Source organism: Homo sapiens, chromosome 12 (genome assembly GCF_000001405.40).
Source record: "Homo sapiens chromosome 12, GRCh38.p14 Primary Assembly".
Taxonomy (NCBI): domain Eukaryota; kingdom Metazoa; phylum Chordata; class Mammalia; order Primates; family Hominidae; genus Homo; species Homo sapiens.
Window position 1 is genome coordinate 129,213,652 of NC_000012.12, and position 20,085 is coordinate 129,233,736.

The following is a 20,085-nucleotide window of genomic DNA, read 5'->3' on the forward strand; positions in this document are numbered from 1 at the left end:
GCAGAGATCACCTAGTAGTAGAGGAAGCAAGGGAGAAGAACAGGGGAAGTGCCAGGCTTTTAACAATGCTGAGAACTCCATCACTGCCCCACGCCCACTGCCAACCAGAGAGGGACTTTACCTACTCATGAGGGATTCACTCCCATGACCCAAATACCTCCCATGGCCCTACCTCCAACCCGGGGGATCACATTTCAACATGAGGTTTGGGGGAACAGACATTCCAACCGTAGCAGTGTGTAAATGTGTATGTATCTCAATAGATTGAAATCTATTATGATGTATTTCCCTGCAGGGGATTTCTCTAGAATATACACCTAAGAATAGTTTCGTTGAGGGCTGAGGGAGCTGGGGTATTTATACACCAAACCTAAGTGCTGCTCCTAAACAGACCACTGCTTAGCACTTCCAGCCCACTGCATGTGCAGACAAAACAGACTTCTACTATTTCAAAGGAAGCTCCCGATGGATGGTGACACTTGGACCTGGTCTGGAGAACACTGCTGTGCTAGGGTACAAGGGAAATGTGTAGGGCCCTAACTGAGTCTGCTACAACATCACTGAAGTAATCTGTCATGCAGTGGTCTGATGGATTGGAACCAGAATTAGAGTGCTTTTTATTTTGATTTTTGTTTTTTTAAATTTCCTCATGTTTCTGGTATCCTGATGTTATGCTTCAAGTATCAGCATAGTCATTTATTCATGTTGACCTTTGAAAATTAATTGTAAAAGAGACAAGGAAAATAATGGATAGAGAAAAACACTGCACAAGGGAAGCTTTTAAACATCTTAAGAGATTGATCTCTGTGTTAGACAGTTTGTTGCCCATTCAATGTCTGTTCTGCCTTTCTTTCTGACAAAACCCCAATTTCATTTGTGGCTGTAACATGCCTGAATAAAATGACTATAGTTTTTGGCTGCCCTTAATCTCTGACACATTTCTGGCCCAGAAGATATCAATAAAAGTCATTTAGTGAGACTTCCAGAAAATTTTGTGAAAAAACAAACAAAAACTCAAAAGAAGACAGACACACAGACAATACTCACATAAAAAAGCTCAACATCATTGATCACTAGAGAAATGCAAATCAAAACCACAATGAGATATCATCTCACACCAGTCAGAATAGCTATTATTAAAAAGATTTTTAAAAACCCACAGATACTGGTGACATTGTGGGGTAAAGGGAATACTTATATACTGTGGGTAGGAGTGTAAATTAGTTCAACCTTTGTGGAAGACGGTGTGGTGATTCCTTAAAGAGATAAAAACAGAAATACATTTGACCCAGCAATCCCATTACCAAGTATAGACCCAAAGGAATATAAATCATTCTACCATGAAGACACAGGCATGTGCATGTATACTGCAGCAGTATTCACAATAGCAAAGACATGAAATCTACCTAGATGTCCATCAATGGTAGACTGGATAGAGAAAATGTGATACATATACACCATGGAATACTATGCAGCCATAAAAAAGAATGAGATCATGTCCTTTGCAGGGACATGGTTGGAGCTGGAGGCCATTATCCTTGGCAAACTAACACAGAAACAGAAAACAACATACCACCTGTTCTCGCTTATACCACATGTTCTCGCTTATAAGTGGGGGCTAAATGATGAGAACACATGAACACATAGAGGGTAACAACACACACTGGGGCCTATGTGAGGGTGGAGGTTGGGAGGAGGGAGAAGATCAGGAAAAACAACCAATGGGTAGTAGGCTTAATACCTGGGTGGGGAAATAATTGGTACAACAAACCTCCATGACACATTTCCCTTTGTAACAAACCTGCACATGTACTCCTTAATTTAAAATAAGAGTTACATAAAAATTAAATTAAGGTGAAAAAAATAAGAAGAACTAAGCAGATTCTGAAAGATGTCTTTCCTTTCTTCCTGCCCACTAGGCACAGATAATGTTGGAGTTAAACCGCATCTTGTGACTCAAAGGTGGTGGTATGTGGTTAAAAGACACGTGGTTTCAGTGTAGTGAACTATTAATAGTTAAGTGCAGGGACTCTCTCTTGGATTGTGCATTAGTCTGTTTTCACACTGCTGATATACCCAAGACTGGGTAATTTATACAGAAAAAGAGGTTTAATGGACTCAGTTCCAGGTGGCTGGGGAGGCCTCACAGTCATGGCGGAAGGTGAGGGAAGAACAAAGGCATGTCTTACATGGCGTGGGGCAAAGAGAGAAGGAGAGCCAAGTGAAAGGGGAAACCCCAAATAAAATCATCAGATCTCCTGAGACTTACTCACTACCATGAGAACAGTGTGGGGGAAACCGCCCGAATGCATGATTCAATTATCTCCCACCAGGTCCCTCCCACAACATGTGGGAATTATAGGAGCTACAATTCAAGATGAGATTTGGGTGGGGACACAGCCAAACCATATCAGACTGCCTGCGTTTGAATCCTGGTTGTGACACTACCAGCTGGGTGGCTCCAAGCAAGTTACTTAACTCTTCGTGCCTAATTCTCTTCAGCTATAACATGAGCATAATGATGGTATGTACCTCTTGGGTTTGCCCTAGATTTGGTGCGTTAGTATTTGTAGAGTGTTTAGAACAGCACCTGGTAACTAATAAATGCCCTCCCAAATGTCTGATAAATAAGCACAGATGAATGATGACCATGGTGTGTTGAGTACTAAGTTCATGTCCACCTGAATGTGAGCTTATTTGGAATCAGTATCTCTGTAGATGTGATTAGTTGAGACATGGTCTTAATGGATTAAGGTGGGATTGTGGGTGTCCTTACAAGAAGAGAAAACACAGACAGACACACAGGGAGGATGGCACAGGAAGATGGAGCCAGAGATTGGGGTGATCCATCCGTAAGCTGAGGAATATCAAGAATTGGCACAACCCACAGAAGCTGGAAGAGGTAGGAAGGATGCTTCCCTAGAGCCTCCAGAGGGAGCATGGCCCTGGTCACACCATAATGTTAGACTTGCAGCCTCCAGAACAGTGATGGAGTGAGTGTCTCTTGTATTTAGCCATCACGTTGTGTTACTTCATCACTTCAGTACAGCAGCACTAGGAAGCGAATACAGTGACTAGTCAAAAAGGAAGCGCCTGGATGCCAGAAGCATGGCCACACTCACCCTGGGCATCCACCTCCAAGCATGTTTGCAGAGAGAATTAAGAGCTTGCTCATTCTAACCATTGATTTCCAAGTTCTGTTACTCACAGATAATCACCATCTTAACTGATGCAACCTGAAAGGGGACCGCCTCATGATTTCTTATCGGTCTTAAGCCAAAACGAGTAAGTTAAATTGACTTATTTAAATTGACTTATTTTTTTGTAACGGGAAAAAACATTTTTTGTTGTTGTTGTTGTTGTTCTTTTTTGTCCCTAAAGTTATTACAGCCTCTTTAGAGATCACTTGCCATTTTAATATATGGTTGTGAAATGATCCCATAAATGTTAAAATAGATGAGTACGGTTAGAAGAAATAAAAATAGTGTAATGTGAGCTGCATCAACTGATTCCTTCCTAAACAAAAGCATCAAAGTGCTTAACTATACACCATGGAATACTATACAGCCATAAAAAAGAACGAGGTCATGTCCTTTGCAGGGACATGGTTGGAGCTGGAGGTCATTATCCTTAGCAAACTAACACAGGAACAGAAAACAACATACCACATGTTCTCACTTATAAGTGTGAGCTAAATGTTGAGAACACATGGACACAGAGAGTTGTCACAGAGAGGACACAGTGCTTAACATCACAGTGATTAATGCACCCAATCTGAGCACCCCATTGGAGGAGGTTAGAGGGGGCAAACATTCCAAACAGCAAATGAAACGGAGCGCCACCTGAACCTCCAGCCTTCCCTGCCCTGTGCAAAATTGGCTCGGGGAAGGCATCAGAGGAAGATGGAGGCTTATCCAACCAGAACAGCTCACAGCCCAACACCTCAACCTCTAAGCAGTGTGTTCCCATCACTTAACTCTGTGTGAGGCACATTTGAGAAAGGGGAATTTTGAAGAAATGGACATAAAAGCTAACTGGCCCATTAAGCTTGAAGACTTGCAAAAAGGTAGCATTTTTTACAGAGGTTAGCTGTTAATAGACATGAGACAGTAGGCATAAACTTTCAAACAAACAGGATTTGCGTTACATATTGAGACATTTCCTCATAACATTTTTTAAGGAAAACAATGAGTCACTAGGATAGATAGTTTTTGCTTTTCCTACCTCCTTTTGTATAAGAGGACATCCATTTTCCTTTGGGAAGCTATCACTTCTCCTGTGCATGAAGCTTGGTGGGGGCACAATAACGCTCTCCCCTGGTCAAAAGTAGGCAGGCATCTCCGGAGCTAGGACCAGCAGCCTCTCTCCCTGGGACTTGAATTACACTCAAAGGGAGTGAGGCCGGGTCAAGAATAGCTGAATTTCATTTGTCTCATTTGTGGCACCTGAAAAGTCTATGCCCTTTATCCTGATCTATCTCTAGCATTGTCCTGGTTCCTACCTTTTCTGAGGGCTTTTTGTCCAGCTTTTAAATTCATCCTCTGAGAGAGCCCCTATTCTTGCAATAAATTCATTTTTAAAAATGTTAGGTAGTGAGAATCAGTTTATTTTGGTTACAGTGAACAGTTATGGGTCACTAAGGATGGGGATACATTCCGAGAAATGCATTGTTAGGCGATTTCATCGTTGTGTGAACATCATAGAGTATATTCCACAAACCTAGAAGGCAGAGCATACTACACACCTGGCCATACGGCATAGCCTATTGTTCCTGGGCTACACATCTGTATGGCAGGTGATTGCACAGAATGCTACAGGCAGCTGAAACACCATGGTAAGTATTTACCATGGTAAGTATTTGTGTATCTCAACATAGAAAACTGAGAATAAAAATACAGTAGCATAATCTTATGGGACCACAGTGGTATACGCAGTTCATTGTTGACCGAAATGTTGGTATATGGCACATAACTGTACCCTTTTGAATGAAGTTGACCAGCAAGGTGATTAGATCAAAGTATATTGGTTTTTGAGGTTTCATTCTAAACTGTCATTGAGATGCAAACTTTTTGTTTCTTTAGCAAGTAGCAATCTCAGTCACCAAAGTGCAACTTGGACATCTTGTTCATTTGAATTCCCCCCAAAACAGGCCTAAGACAAGTTAATCTCTTTGCAGGAGGCGGGAGTGAGGCGTAAGCAGCAGGAGACAGTGACAGGGGAAGCCAACACAATGGTGTGTTGTCAAGGTTGCAGTGGTGCCCAGAGGAACTCGATTTACAGAGGGAGGATTCTCCCAGAATTGTCTGACTAAAGGCTAGAAGCCTGCATTCCTGGGGTTACAGGTTTCCCCGGGTGTGTAAACTCCATGCTTGGGAATGGGCTCCCATGATGTCAGAAAAACCCTGGAGCAAAACATGGAAAGATGTCCATAATGCCTGGAGGTGGGGCCAGCTCAGGTGATATGGTTTGGCTCTGTGTCCCCACCCAAATCTCACCTTGAATTGTAATAATCTCCATGTGTCATGGGAGGGACCTGGTAGGAGGTAATTGAATCATGGGGGCAGGTCTTTCCCATGCTTTTCTTGTGATAGTGAATAAGTCTCATGAGATCTGATGGTTTTATAAATGGGAATTCCCCTGCACAAGCTCTCTTGCCTGCCACCATGTAAGACATGCCCTTGCTTCCCCAGCCATGTGGAACTGTGAGTCCATTAGGCATCTTTCCTTTATAAATTACCCAGTCTTGGGTATGTCTTTATTAGCAGTGTGAGAACAGACTAATATGTCAGGGAATGACAAGTCTTCGCTCACATGGGTGCAACTGCCCAGCACGAACGAGGGCCAAGAGGGCGTATAAGGGCACCGGAGACAGCAGCTCCAGAAATGGACTCAGTTGCTCCCATGCAAGGAGAGAAATTCCCCATGATAAAGTAGGGAACAAAAATGTGACTTACTTTTTGAAAAGGGGGCACACCTGGGCCTGCAACTTGCATGGAGGTGTGTGGCCAGCATTTACACTGATTTAAACAGCAGGTTTCAGAAGTAATTCTTCTTCACTCATGTGCTTATAAACCTTGGAGAGGCTGAAAGCTCACTTGATAAGATCATATCAAATACTTCATTAAATTAAGGATACAAACATGGTGGTAGCCCTGCAGGTCATCCAGAGATCAAGGCTCCACATGCCCTGGATGAAGGCTCCACATCAGTAGGGCTGACACCATACAGGGAGCTGGCCTTGCACCTTTTGGGAGCACAGTTCGCCTCTGTCTGCCATTTCCAACATTCTTACTCTCTTCCTGGTGTGTGGGCAACTTCTTGAATTGCTAATATATTTGTTCTCTAAAATATGTACTTCATTTCTCATCATATTTACCCATTCCTCAAAACATCTTGCAAATAATATTCAGTTTTAAGAATATTGTATCAGTCAGGGATGTTAGTTGCAGACAACAGAATCCACTCTAGCTCTTTCAAGCGGAAAAGGATTTATTCAGGAATATGGATGGGATTGAAGAAACAGATTTCAGCTGAGTTCCCAAGAGCAATGCCTGGAACCAGAGAGTGGGCCACCAAGAACCTGCTGCTTGTCATGACTAGAAAGCTTACAAATCAGACAGATGGTTCTAGAACCTCATTGCCTCTCCCACAGTCTGAGCCAGCAAAATGGATGCCCACACACTTCCTTTTCCCCACGTTGGAAACGAAATCTCACACAGGTGCATCCAGTTGGCAGGGACTGGATCGCAAGCCCATATACCCTCACAGACACTTTGCTGCCTTTCAGGAAAATCTGAGCCAAGTAGATTTTTGGAAAGTACCTTGTGGGGATGAGATTTACACAGTGGAGAGAGCTCTCAAAGCTCAGAGAGAGTATTTTGTGGGCAGCTGCAACAGTTTTCCACTACATGTGTCAACATTCCATGGCCTCGTGTTCTCCTGATGTTATAGTACAGAAACTCATGTTCTGCTAAGTCTATTCATTCTCTTAAATATTGGAACTATGTACCCTCTATGCTTCACCCCATCTCCCAGCGACATAAAGAAATGGTACCTTGTAAGATTCTTTTGTCCACCACAGACTAAATTTGAGGACATTAAATGTCAAACGGATACAAGAATTGTGAATTTACGTTTCATGGAAAAAGAAATAAACCTCTTAAAGACAGATGTCCAGATCAGGTATAAAAAGATTTTTTTCCTCCTGTTATATCATATTCAGGCGTAATATTTAAAAATGAAAAAAAAAAAAAGCCCAACAACCACCCCTGGGATGGCATAGCCACTGACCAATCAGAGGAGATGCCTGGCCAACCATGCTTGATGGTGTTGGGCCAGCCATGCAGGTGAATTCCAGTTTACAGAGGACAAAGGAATGCTCCGAGAATATGCCATTTGTTCCTTCATATTTTCCAGGTCCTTACAGTTCAGAAGAGACCTGTGAACACTTCTAGCCACTAAAATGTACGGGTCAATGTTGTTTGTTACTTGTGGGTTGAAGCAATACAGCTTTCATGTTCAATTGCCTATTCTTTCTCCTCACCTGACACGGCCACCAAGGAGGCTCTGTGTTCCAGATGATGCAGTGAGGAGATGCTGGAGCCTCCATTAGCCTGGTTACCTGAGTCACACGTGGAGAAGAGCTTCCTCCTGACCCACACAGGACATACAGCAGGAGGAATAATTAGGCTTTTCTTGTCTTAAGGCAATGTGATTTGGGAGCAAGTTTTTATTCCAATATAACCCAACTTATCCTGATTAATACACAACACTTTCCAAATTCAGCTTCAGCAACTCACTCTATACCTAATCATTAAATTCTGGGCTGTCCTTCTGGGCAGCAGGATAGATTGCTCAGATATGAAACCTCAAAATTTCCTCCATAGGCTGGGTGGCTAGCCCTTCATCTCCTGGTTACTGCCCTGATTTCTGCTGTAATGAGCTTGGGCAGGTCCAGCCTAAGTTAGTATGAAGGTCTCACATCCCTTTCTTCCTCAATGTGTCCTCCTAACTGTGGTTGACTTCTTAAAAAAACCTTTTCAATCAATTTCCCAACAAAGATCAGTAACCTAATCAGTAGAATAACAACCAATCACCCTGTCCTTGTCTTTTGCTTGTTTGGCCAAACTCTGTTATTTGAGCCCCTACTCCTACCCCTGGCCTCCCAAATAAATAACAAACGCTGCGACAATGATGGGCTGTGGGTTTTTTATTTCTTCCACATTAAACATAAGAGCTATTAGTTGACCATAGAAATACTATATCTAATTAGCAATAATGCTGTGTTGCTATAAATAACCTGTGTGCTTCTTTTGACAAGTGCAGAGTATCAGTCAAATTGGCACCTGCATTGCAAATAGATTTATAAACCGCTCTGTTTCTTAAAGTACATCAGCTCTTGGGTTTCGTGGCTGTGGTATGGTATGCAGAGGGATTGCATTTTGGCACTCACACTAAAATGAAATAAAATAATAAAATAAAATAATTCTTCTACCTTTGGGGAGGCAGCAAGATTTTATGCTGCAGATCCCACATGAGGCTGGGCATGTGGTCATGCCTTCTCCCTGTGAGGCTGGCTTCTCAAAGCCATTGAAACAGCCAAATGCATGGTGCTCTTCCCTTCCTTTTTAACGTAAATTTCAAAATCTTATCAAGGTTATCCAAGCTCATTGTTAAAATGTTACCCGTCCAAAAGCATTTACAATGAAATGCCATAGCACGTATCCACACTTCCCTAACTCCATTTTTGTTTCCTTCAGGCAATTGTTTTCAACTCTTCTATGTTATAAAGGTCTTCCCCCATATATCTAAATAATATGCTATATTCCCCTTTTTTGATATAGCAGTTTTAGACTTTAGCTACTGATTTCCTGGTATGATCAATGAAATTTTATCTCTGACTGCCTTCTACTTTCTCTCCTTTCTCAGGCAATATGATCATGTTCCCCTTTTGATTTCTCTATTGGCTGTATTTATAATTTCAAGGAAATACACCTCTAATCAAAGACAAACACTGCATCGTCTTACTTATAGGTGATATCTAAAGAAGCTGAACTCACAGAAATGGTGAGTAGAAGGGTGGTTGCCAGGAACTGGGTGAGGTGTTGGGGGAAATGGGGAATTTTGGTTAAAGGGTACACATTTTCAGCTATAAAATGAGTAAGTTTTGTAGACTTGATGTACAGCATGTTTAGTATAGTTAATAATAATATATCACATACTTGAAATTTGCTGAGAGCACAGCTCTTAAACGCTCTCACTACCAAAAAAAGGTAACTCTGGGAACTAATGAATTTATTAGCTTGATAGTGGCAATCATTTCACAATGTATATATGTATCAAGACATCATATTATACACCTTAAACATACACAATGTTTATTTGCCAGTTATACCTCAATAAAGCTGGGGGGAGAAAGAGATAATGCCTTGGTCCCTGAATAGTTTAAGAACATGTCTGCAGATTCTTCGACATTCCTGCCATGTGGAAGTGGAGTCTGGTTTTCTCCCCTTCAACACAGGCCGGTCTTAGGACTCACCTCTAGCTGTATCACCTTTTGGAACCTAGCCCCGGAAGTAGCAAGCATCACTTCCTCTAGAATGCAGTGGAAGTGATGGTTGCTACTTCCGAGGCTAGGTCCTAAAAGCCAAGACAGCTCCAACCTTGTTTTCTTGCTGGGGGCACTTGCTCTTGGAACTCAGTCACCATGCTGTGAAGAAGCCCTGGCCACATGGAGAGGCCACATGCAGGTGATCTGGTCAATAGCCCAGACTGTAATCGGTATCCCCCACAGCAGATGTGTAAATGCAGAGGCTTTTCAGAGGACCACGTAGACTCTACCTTGCTGCACTCAACAGGAGACCCTGAGCAGAAGCCACCTGGCAGAGTCCTGTAGACCCCCGGAGCCATATGGCAGAACATAATATAAATGGCTGTTGTTGTAATAAGGATACTATGGTTTGCTGGTTTCTTGTGCAGCAATAGATAACTGATAACCCCCGCCTCCCGCTTTGCAAGACGAGAATATTAGCCCTGCTAAAGCTCCTCTTTGGTTCATCTCTGGTGTTAGCTTCCTAACTTTTCTCATTTCTAACTTTTACTTTTATACTCTCAAGGATGATAACGTCTACATTGTGTTCTGAAACATAATGAAGTCATCTGTGCTTCGTACAAAGGTTGGATCTCAGAGTTGAAATCCACTAACATATCTATTATACTCTTACAAATATTGTTCACTGTGGAGCAGGCTTTCTCAGACTTGACACTATTGATATTTTGGGCTGCATAATTCTTTGTTATCAGGATGTTCCATGCCTTATAAGTTGTGCATTGCAGCATCTCTGGCCTCCACCCACTAGATGCCAGTAGCATCCCTCATCCCCCTAGTATGACAGCCCAAAATGTCTCCAGTCATCGCCAGTGTCTCCTGAGGGAGAAAAATCACTCTCAGTTAAGAACCACTGCGGTGGGGCGAAGAATTGTCCTTGGATTCTGTTTCTTTTCATTATAATACTTTGTGTCTCCTGGAGTTACTCATTGCCTTCCTTTTTTTCCTCTTTAGTTAATATAATTTACTTTGTTCATAATCTTAGGTTTTGCCAAGCTCTTCACTGACCTTGCCATTTTCCCGGGGATCCTCCCATCAGAATATTTTGTCTTCTGTTCCGATGAATATGTTCTCTAGACCTGCTGCATAGATCAGGACTTCTTTTTACTTGATACAAAATTTGTTTTAAATATACACATTTAAAATGGGAGAAATTTTCAAAATGCAGAAACGAATGCAAAAATTCTTGATTTTCTTGATTTTCTTCATGTCACCAGCAAGTACGGACTCCACTGTATACAGTGAGCTTTGTGCAACCAGAGCTGGCTTTAGGTAACAGACAAACCTTTCAAAAACAGAATATAGTCTATTTAGAAATAATATTTTATTGTACTAGTGGAGCTTGCTATTAAAAATCAGACTAAGCAGGCAGGGCACGGTGGCTCATGCCTATAATCCCAGCACTTTGGACGTCGAGGCAGCAGATCACTTGAGGTCAGGAGTTTGAGACCAGACTGGCCAACATGGCAAAACCCCATCTCTATTAAAAATACAAAATTAGCCAGGCATGGTGGCCACGCCTGCAGTCCCAGCTACTCAGGAGGCTGAGACATGAGACTCCCTTGAACCTGGGAGGTAGAAACTGTTTTTTTCTTTTCCATTTTATATATTTTTTAATTATCCTAAGCAAACTCAAGGCCCAACTCAAATGCTACATCTTCCTTGATCTCCCCAAGTGGAAATAATCAGTGTGCATATTGTTTATATTTTATTAGAGACATTATATAAAATAAATACGGAAACAGGAGAGCTTAGGGTGAGGAGTGCGAGCTTTGGGGCCAGACAGCCTGGCTTTGAATCTCAGTTCCTATGCCTACTAGCTCTGTGACTTTCGGCAAAATAGTGACCGTACTGTACTGCACTGTGTCTGTTTTCTCATCTGCGAAATCGGGACTGGAAAAGTTTCCATGCTATTGGGTTGAAGGGAAGGATTTCATACATGAAAGGTGGTTATTGCCATGACTGGCGCATACTAAGCAAAGCTACATGTTCACCATTGTTGGCGTCATCCACGCTGCCTGACTTTAAGAACTCCTCAACCAGCCTGGGAGTGGAGACAGGCACCTGGCCTGAGGGATCTGAGTCCTAGCTTTACACAGCATCAGATGTGGGACTTTGGCCAAGGTATGTCAGTTCTTGGAGGCCAACTTTCCTCATCTTCACTGTGGAGTTAAATGAGATGCAGGAGAATCGCCACCCGCACAGTCTTTGGACTCGGGTGGCCTGTGTTCAAATCCCAGCTTTGTCACTTCCATGTTTTGTGACTTTGCAAGTTACTGAAACTCTCTGCAGCTCATTTTTCTTATCTGAAAAACAAGGTTCCAAGTAGTATCTACCACAGAGAGTTCTTATGCGGATCCAATGAGTTAACGCAGGCAAAGTGTTAAAGCAGTGCTTGGCATTATTAATTTGTAAATAAGGCTGCTTATTAGTAGTATCCTAACATATGCAATGACTTACATGGATTCAATTACGTTCCTGGCAAAAGGAAAAAGCAAGAGAGAGAGGAAGAGGAGGGAAGAAGACATAACCTGCCGTGCCTTTCAATGCACTCAAGTTTGTCCTGCAGTATAGGAGGCAGGAACCTGCTGTTTACCCAGTGGCCCCCAGCCCCCACAGCCACTCACAGTGTGAGCATCTCACTGCAGTCAGTAGCTTTAGTATTAAAGATACATATTTTTCACACCCAGGATCCCTGAGCACAAGCCAACAACTCCACTTGGTGCTCAGCCAATGAACAATAATGTGTCAATGCTGAAAGAAAGACGGGAAGTTTCGAGCCGTAGAAGCTGTATTTTATGAGTGGTTTGAGGGACTTTCAAGGGTGATGTTGATTGCGTGTTATTTTCGCATCATGTGTTTGCTCTGGAAACTAAACTTCTTTCTGGAATGGGACTTCATTGCCAAGACCAGTGAACTCTCAGTGAAGCATTGGAGGCTTGCGATAAGAAAGGGTGAATGAACTATAGGAACATGAGTTCTTGGCCGCCTTCATTCCTATGCAAATTGACATTTGGTTTCTCTCTGGAGGAAATGCCTGGCCAGGATCACAGGGCAATGCCTGTGGGCATGGGCCTTGAGCATCTCTTCTCATGCACACCTACCTATGCATGTGGGTTTGCAGAGCCCACAGGTTAGGACTTAAGAGGCATCTCAAGGGACAGGAAGGTTCTCATACCATTTGCCCCTGTCTGCCGCGGCACCAGACCTTGGCCCAGACAATCATCCCAGGATGTGGTGTCAAACTCCGGTTCTAACCCGGGGCCTTGGAGGTGGTAATGGTCACCTGGTAACCTAGGACCTCACACCTAAGCCAGAGGGCGAAGTGACAGCTCCAGGTAATTGCTGCCTTATAGGAATGTGAACCAGACTGACCCATGTCCTGATTTTCCCAGAGGAGCCAAGAAACAATATTGGTAGGTGAGATCTCCTAACTTTTACATTTGGCTCACTTTTTGTGAAATGTTCTGTGAAGTTTGAACAAACACATTTGCAGGGTGCACTGGCCTAAGGGCTCCCCTTTGTGACTTCATTAGGAACTCTTGCCCTGCTGTCTGGACTCAGCAACGAGGTGAATGTTTTCCCAGGACCCCCGATTCATTTCTCTGGGTCACCCCACAACCCCTGCTGTCTGGGAATAAGGTCTCCTTCATTCTGAGCCGCCTGAAGAAATCTCCTGTATCACAAAAGCACTGCTTCGTTTTGCATAACTAATTTCAAATCTTATTTAGCGTCAAGTTTCAGAATTAAGAAGCTAAATGACAGCTGTTTAATTAACTCCTTAAGCTGATTAGGCAGTGCTACTGAAATCCCCTCAAGGAGGAATTTCTAACTCTGGGGAGAACCTAGGCCATGTTACTGCCTCTGTTTAAATTTAGTAAGCTGCTAAACCCATCGACCACACGTACCTGACATCCTCAAGCATGTGGCCAAATATGGATTTTTATTTATTATGTTAACTGCTACAGAAGATGCCAAGTGATAATAACAATAACTTCCTTTGATCCACTAAGAAAATCTGTCATCTGTCCTGCGTTAGGAAATATATATATATATATATATATATATGGCGCAAGTCGGAGTTTTTCCGAAGACACTTGATTATGTTATAAATCCCATGGGTTTCAATGCACTGTGTTAGGAGAGGGGTTTGGATTAACCTTGGGCCCCCACATAATGGGTTGTACATCCTTCTCTTCATTAATAAGAGAAAGCCACATGAATGAGTTTAAGACCTTAAGCCAGTTTTATTCTTAAGATTGATGTTTTTAAAGTGGAATTTCCAAGGAAGAGGAAACCACAATATTTACCTGATTTTATTTTTATTTATTTTTTAATATATATATATATTTTATTATACTTTAAGTTCTAGGGGACATGTGCACAATGTGCAGGTTTGTTACATAGGTATACATGTGCCATGTTGGTGTGCTGCACCCATTAACTCATCATTTACATTAGGTATATCTCCTAATGCTATCCCTCCCCACTACCCCCACCCCACAACAGGCCCTGGTGTGTAATGTTCCCCTTCCTGTGTCCAAGAGTTCTTATTGTTCAATTCCCACCTATGAGTGAGAATATGCGGTGTTTGGTTTTTTGTCCTTGCGATAGTTTGCTGAGAATGATGGTTTCCAGCTTTATCCATGTCCCTACAAATGACTTGAACTCATCTTTTTTATGGCTGCATAGTATTCCACGGTGTATACGTTTATTACCTGATTTTAAATGTGAGGCTAAGGCTGCCTGGGCATCCCAGGACATCGACGCTGTGTACAAGATGATGAATTTGTTTCCCCCTTTATAATCCTTAGCTGGGCAACATTGGGTGGATGGTAACAAAACATGGTGTAGACAGTGTGAAGAAGCATGAGACGTGTGTTTTGGAGAACTGCCATTGACCTAAGGTTGTTAGAAACCGCAGTTTAACTTTTGAATTGAGTTTAGCGGGATGAGTCCAGTAATCCGGTGGGGAGTGGTGCGGAACCCACAGATTTTGTGGGCTGGTTTTGCGTGCTGAAAATGTCAGCTCCTTGCTCAAGACCTAGAGGTTTTCCATTTTTGTGTTGTTTTGAGTTTTTGTTTTGGGCAGCTTTATTGAGATAAAATTCATATACCATAAAATTCATCTGCTTAAAGTGTGCAATTCATTAGTTTTTAATATAGTCACAGATACGTGCAGTATTACCACAGTCAATTTTTGAACATTTTTATTGCCTTAAAAAAAATCCTATGTCCTTAGCTACTTCCCCACCCCTCACTACCACCGTGCTTCAGCCCTGGCAATCACAAATCTACTTTCTGTCTGCCTGAATTTTCCAGTTCCAGATGCTCAACCTGAATCGAATCATGTGATGTGTGGTCTTTTGAGACTGGCTGCTTTCACGTACTGTGATGCCATCATGGTTCATCCATGCTGTAGCACGGGTCAGTGTTTCGTTCCTTTCACAGCTGAATAATACTCCTCAAGGCACACAGGTTTAATGCTTTCCATTTAACAAAAATCAATTCCGATGCTGTTATGATCAGTTAATCAACTAGGGTTCCAAGGACCGCATCCCGCCCATGGAAATGATTTGTTTGGACTGTACAGATTTAATTCTTTTTCAATGGATCACAACATTTGAAAATGAGAATATCTGCATAAGATCCGGACTTCTGGTTTGTCTTGGAAAATCAGAAGTTCAGCAATTCCGGGGCATCATTCAGTGAATGTGTCCTTGTGGCCTCTCTCCTCTTCTCCAGAGCTGACGTCTCCATTGAATTGGGAGGTCCAGGATTCTCCGGGAGGGTCTGAATCCAGGCTCCCTTGCTGAGGTGCCTCTAGACGAGCAACACACGTGTGATCCAGCTGTGCCAACGTTGTCCAGTTCCAACAACGGAGGCTAAAACTTATAAGAAATGTGACAGGCACAGGGTAAACACTCAGCTTCGGGTGTAACTTTTTAAAATAACAAGCTACTCTTTGTATCAGAAATACTAAATCTGGTGATTTATCAGTCTCCTTGATAAGAAAAGTCTGACAATATGATGCTGTTGAGTACACTCAGCATATATCAAAGATCGACAACTACGGATGTTGATAATGAAGGTTCTTTTAAGAAACGTACACTTCATTTATAGCTTCCAAACATCAATTCCATGAAACCCAGCATGAATATTTAATTTATGTCTGTTGATAGAGTCCTCTTGATAGCATAAAGCATCTGCTCTTTGAAACTGAGGGAGGTTTTGCCTGCAGCCTCTAAGTAAATGGGTTCTCAGTCCTCTACTATATCACTACAGAAAAATGCATGTCAAATTGTCAAAGGCTACAGAATTTTCTGTAGGCTGGGAGAAGCCTATCAGTTTTATGGGACATGAAACTAAGGAATTAATTCAATTGGTATGGAAAGGACATAGAAAATTGATAAACATCAAAGAGCTGCTCTCAGACTTCATTTAACTAAATCAGTAAACCTAAAAGTGGGTCTTGTTTAGAATTTTAACCCTCTAGAGGCACCGAAAGTGCTTATAAGTCCTTTTTTAACCTGCAAGCCACAGGGATTTCAGCAAGACTTATTGGTGGGGCTGGGAGCCAAGTCTTGATTATCTGTGCTGATGAGGGTGCAGTGGTGTGGCTAATCCCAAATAGTGTAAAACCCAAAAGTCATTTGCAGTTTGGCCCTGGAATACATTAAGTGCATTTTCTTGCCTTCACCAGACAACTTCTTAATTATGTTTCTTTTAGGCTAGTGTAAAAATGAATTTACATGTCTTCTGCCCACACTAATTGAGAAGAGGGTAGATGCAATTAAGATTATTCTGGGAGGCAGGATAAAATCAATCTGGGGTTTTAAATTGGTCACAGTCACCCATGCATTGACTTAGACTTCATAACCTGCTGACCAAGGAAATGCATCTGAGGTCTATGCTTCCCTTTCCTGAGAAAGGAAGAACATCAGCAGTCTCTGCTACTTCCCCAGCCTGGCCATCCCCTTCCTCAGCTCCTTCTGTGTAGGGGTCTCCCCAGCCTAGCCATCCCCTTCCTAAACTCCTTCTGTGTTGGAGGGGGGGGGCTCCCCAGCCTGGCCATCCCCTTCCTCAGCTCCTTCTGTGTATGTGGGGCTGTGATTCTATGATTCATGTCCTGTCCTCCAACCCCACTGATGACAGATGAAAATCATGGGGACTTGGAGAAAATGAAGATGATTATTAGACCCTTCTTCAAAATGTAGCTCTGTGATCAAGATTATGGACACTGGTCTCATTCTCAACTGTCTGAAACTACGGAGAAATTTATGCTACAGCAAAGCAGCTCTGTTTTCGGGGTGTCTACAGGATGGGGTGAAGCCACACTACTGTGGAGACCACACCCTAGAAGATGATCTCATCCAGTCCCAGGGTGTTGATGTTCTGATCAGTTCCAGATTCAGATCTCCCATCTGAGAGCTCCCATGAACTCAAGAGTATTCTTCTGCCTAGCTGATGTCTCCACTGGGTGTCTCAGAGTCACTGGGTTCAAGAAGCAACTCTTGACATCCTGTCTCAAATCTGCTCTGCTAACAGTATTCAAATCTCAGCAAATGGGGCAACAGTGCCCTAGTTGCTCAATCTGAAACCTCAGGAGTGATGGCTTATGTCACATCCATGAGATCATTGGGTTAGCACTGTGCTCAATGTACTGCAAACCTGCCAGCCACTTCCCTCCATTCCATGATCATCACCTTCAATGAAGCCACCATGATATGTAGCCAGGGTTAGGAAAAATCTTTGAAACCACTTATCTTGTTTATTTACTCCATAGCATTCGTCACTCTCAGAAATCCTCCCTTTTCTCTTGCTGTGAATTTACTGTCTGTTCAACCACATCAGAATATAACCTTTAGAAGGGCAGGTCTTTCATGCTGTTCAACACAAAGCCTAGGGCTAAGTTCAGGCAGCCTCATGCAAGCGCTTCCTGGCATGCCAGACTCAAACGTGTCCTTGAACATAACACAGGGCTCTTAGGGCACTCCTTGAATCAGCATTGAAGTCTTTTTCAATTAACTTCCATTTGTAACAGAGAATGTGCATTATGGCCATGTTCTCTTTGATATTTTAATCCACGTTGGAAGCAAAATATATCATTGGTGGGTCCCTGTGCATATCTCCAGGGCTTTACATTTCCTGGCTGGAATTGGCAAATCTTGTCCCATTCCTGAAGCTAGAGGTATAAAATGTGTTATATGTTTACAGCAGTCAAACGTCATCAGATTTCCTCTAGTTCAGAGCAAGAAAATAACCAATTGTTCTTTTATTGGTTGGGAGGTCCACACTATAACCACTTTGTGATACATCATTATTATTTTTTATTTCATTAAGCCGGGCTTTGGCAGAAGCATCCTAACTGACATTCAGCCAAGAAAGCAGCTGTGGCTGATGAGCTCAGCTGGTGGGAGCATGGTGTTAATGAGGCTGAGGTCGTGGGTTCAATCCCCACCGGGCTATGGGTTTGTTGAAAATCAGCCAGCTGAAATGGTGACCCTAACTATGGCCAACAGCTTAATAATTACATGAGAAAACATGAACATAGAGCCAAACTATCTTTTCTTCCTAAGGTCCTGGGGCACCTGAGGTTGGTCCAGAGAAGTGGTTCTCAACCAAGTCTACAGAATATAATCCTCCATGGAGCTCTGACAAAATTTCAATGCCTTGGGCCTGCTTCTTCCAATTATATCAGAACCTCTGGGGAGTGGGACACAGGCACCAGTATTTCTTTTTCATATCTTTGCAGGTAATTCTCACTCAGTGGTTCTCAAACTTAGCTGTACATTGGAATCACCTGGGGAGATTAAACAACACTGGTAGTGGGTCTCACACTCTGATTCTGAATTCATTGTCATGGGTTGCAGCCCGGATCTTGGGAGGCTAAAAATCTTCCCACGATATTCTAATAGGCAGCAAAGTGTGAGCACCACTGAGAGTGAGTTTTGTCCATGAAAAATGGTCACCTTCCTTAGTGATTCCAGAGTGCCTTCTACTCTGCTGGACCTGTGAACACACATGCACTCAGACATGGTTCAAGACATGTGACTGGACAGAGAGGGCAAACTGGCAAACTAGTGTTAGGCAACATGTTTTCTGCTTGATGCTTAAGAAATGTTAAAATACAATGATGGTGCCATAAAGTAAACACAGAAGTAAGGGAAAAACACTCTGCACAGAGCTGAGGTCAGAAAGCACCATGCTAGCTCTGCCTTGCAGGTGAGACTGCCTTCTGGTCCAAGGAGATTCTAAGTTGCCATCCACATGAGACAGGATGCCAGTGCAGAGCATGGCCTCATAGCTCAAATGTCTTCACCTCCCAGGGCTTCTGTGACCACCGAACGATTACTATTTGCCCCAGGTCCCCTGCTCACAATCACATTCTGTATTAGTTTGTTCTCCCACTGCTATAAAGATACTACCCGAAACTGGGTAATTTATAAACAAAAGAGGTTTTTATTAACAAATAGTTCCACGTGGCTGGGGAGGCCTCAGGAAACAATCATGGCAGAAGGTGAAAGGGAAGCAGGCGCGTCTTACATGATGGCAGGAGAGAGAGAGATAAAGAGAGAGAGAGAGAGAGAGCACAAAGGAGGAAGTACCACACTTTTAAACCATCAGATCTCATGAGAACTCCCTCACTATCATGAGAACAGCACCGGGGAAATCACCAGCCTGAGCCACTCGCCTCCCACCAGGTCCCTCCTCTGACATGCAGGGATTATAATTGGAGATGAGGTTTGGGTGGGGACACAGAGCCAAACCATGTCACCTCCCCATTCAATCTCCACCACAATGCCTCCTTTTTCATTTCTGTAGCACCTAGTTAGAAATTATCTTATTCTTATGTTAATATATGTATAAGTAAATGCATATTTATTTTGTTTATTTATGATTAACTTACTTTTAAAATTGTCCATCTCCTGTTTTAGACTACAAGATATATGAGGGAGGGGGCCCTGTGTGTCTCCAGCAGCTGCTGAGTTCATCCCAGTATACGCTATCATCATCTGCACGCAACAGTTCTTGAGTGAATGAATGAATGAATGAATGGTACCACAGTTTCAGAAAATGGTTTCTTTCCCTGAGTTATTCTTCCTTCCTATATTCAAGCCCCTCAAATGATTATTTACCCTTTGAAAATTATGTTCTACTGTAGCAGCTTTGGAAGTTCTTATATCCTGCCTCATGATAAGATGTATTTTTGGTGAGGTCAGGATTGATTCTATAAAAAAACATGCTCCCTCGTATGTTGGAGGAAGTCTGAAAAGAACAAGGTGATTATGTCAATGTAACATGGAAGCATAGCTTGAAATCACAAACTGATATTATTAATTTTTATTTTTTAACTTTTAAATTTTATTTATTTATTTATTTTTGAGACAGAGTTTCACTCTTGTTGCCCAGGCTGGAGTGTCATGGTGTGATCTCAGCTCACTGCAACCTTTGCTTTCCAGTTTCAAGCGATTCTC

At 42.5% G+C, this 20,085-nt stretch overlaps 1 protein-coding gene and 1 pseudogene across 1 annotated transcript in view; one reads left to right on the top strand and one right to left on the bottom strand.

The window, feature by feature from the left end:
* Positions 1–20,085, bottom strand: part of TMEM132D (transmembrane protein 132D) — an 832,300-nt gene that overhangs the window by 141,926 nt on the left and 670,289 nt on the right. The window lies entirely within an intron of this gene.
* On the top strand, positions 18,002–18,076 carry TRI-AAT11-1 (tRNA-Ile (anticodon AAT) 11-1; annotated as a pseudogene).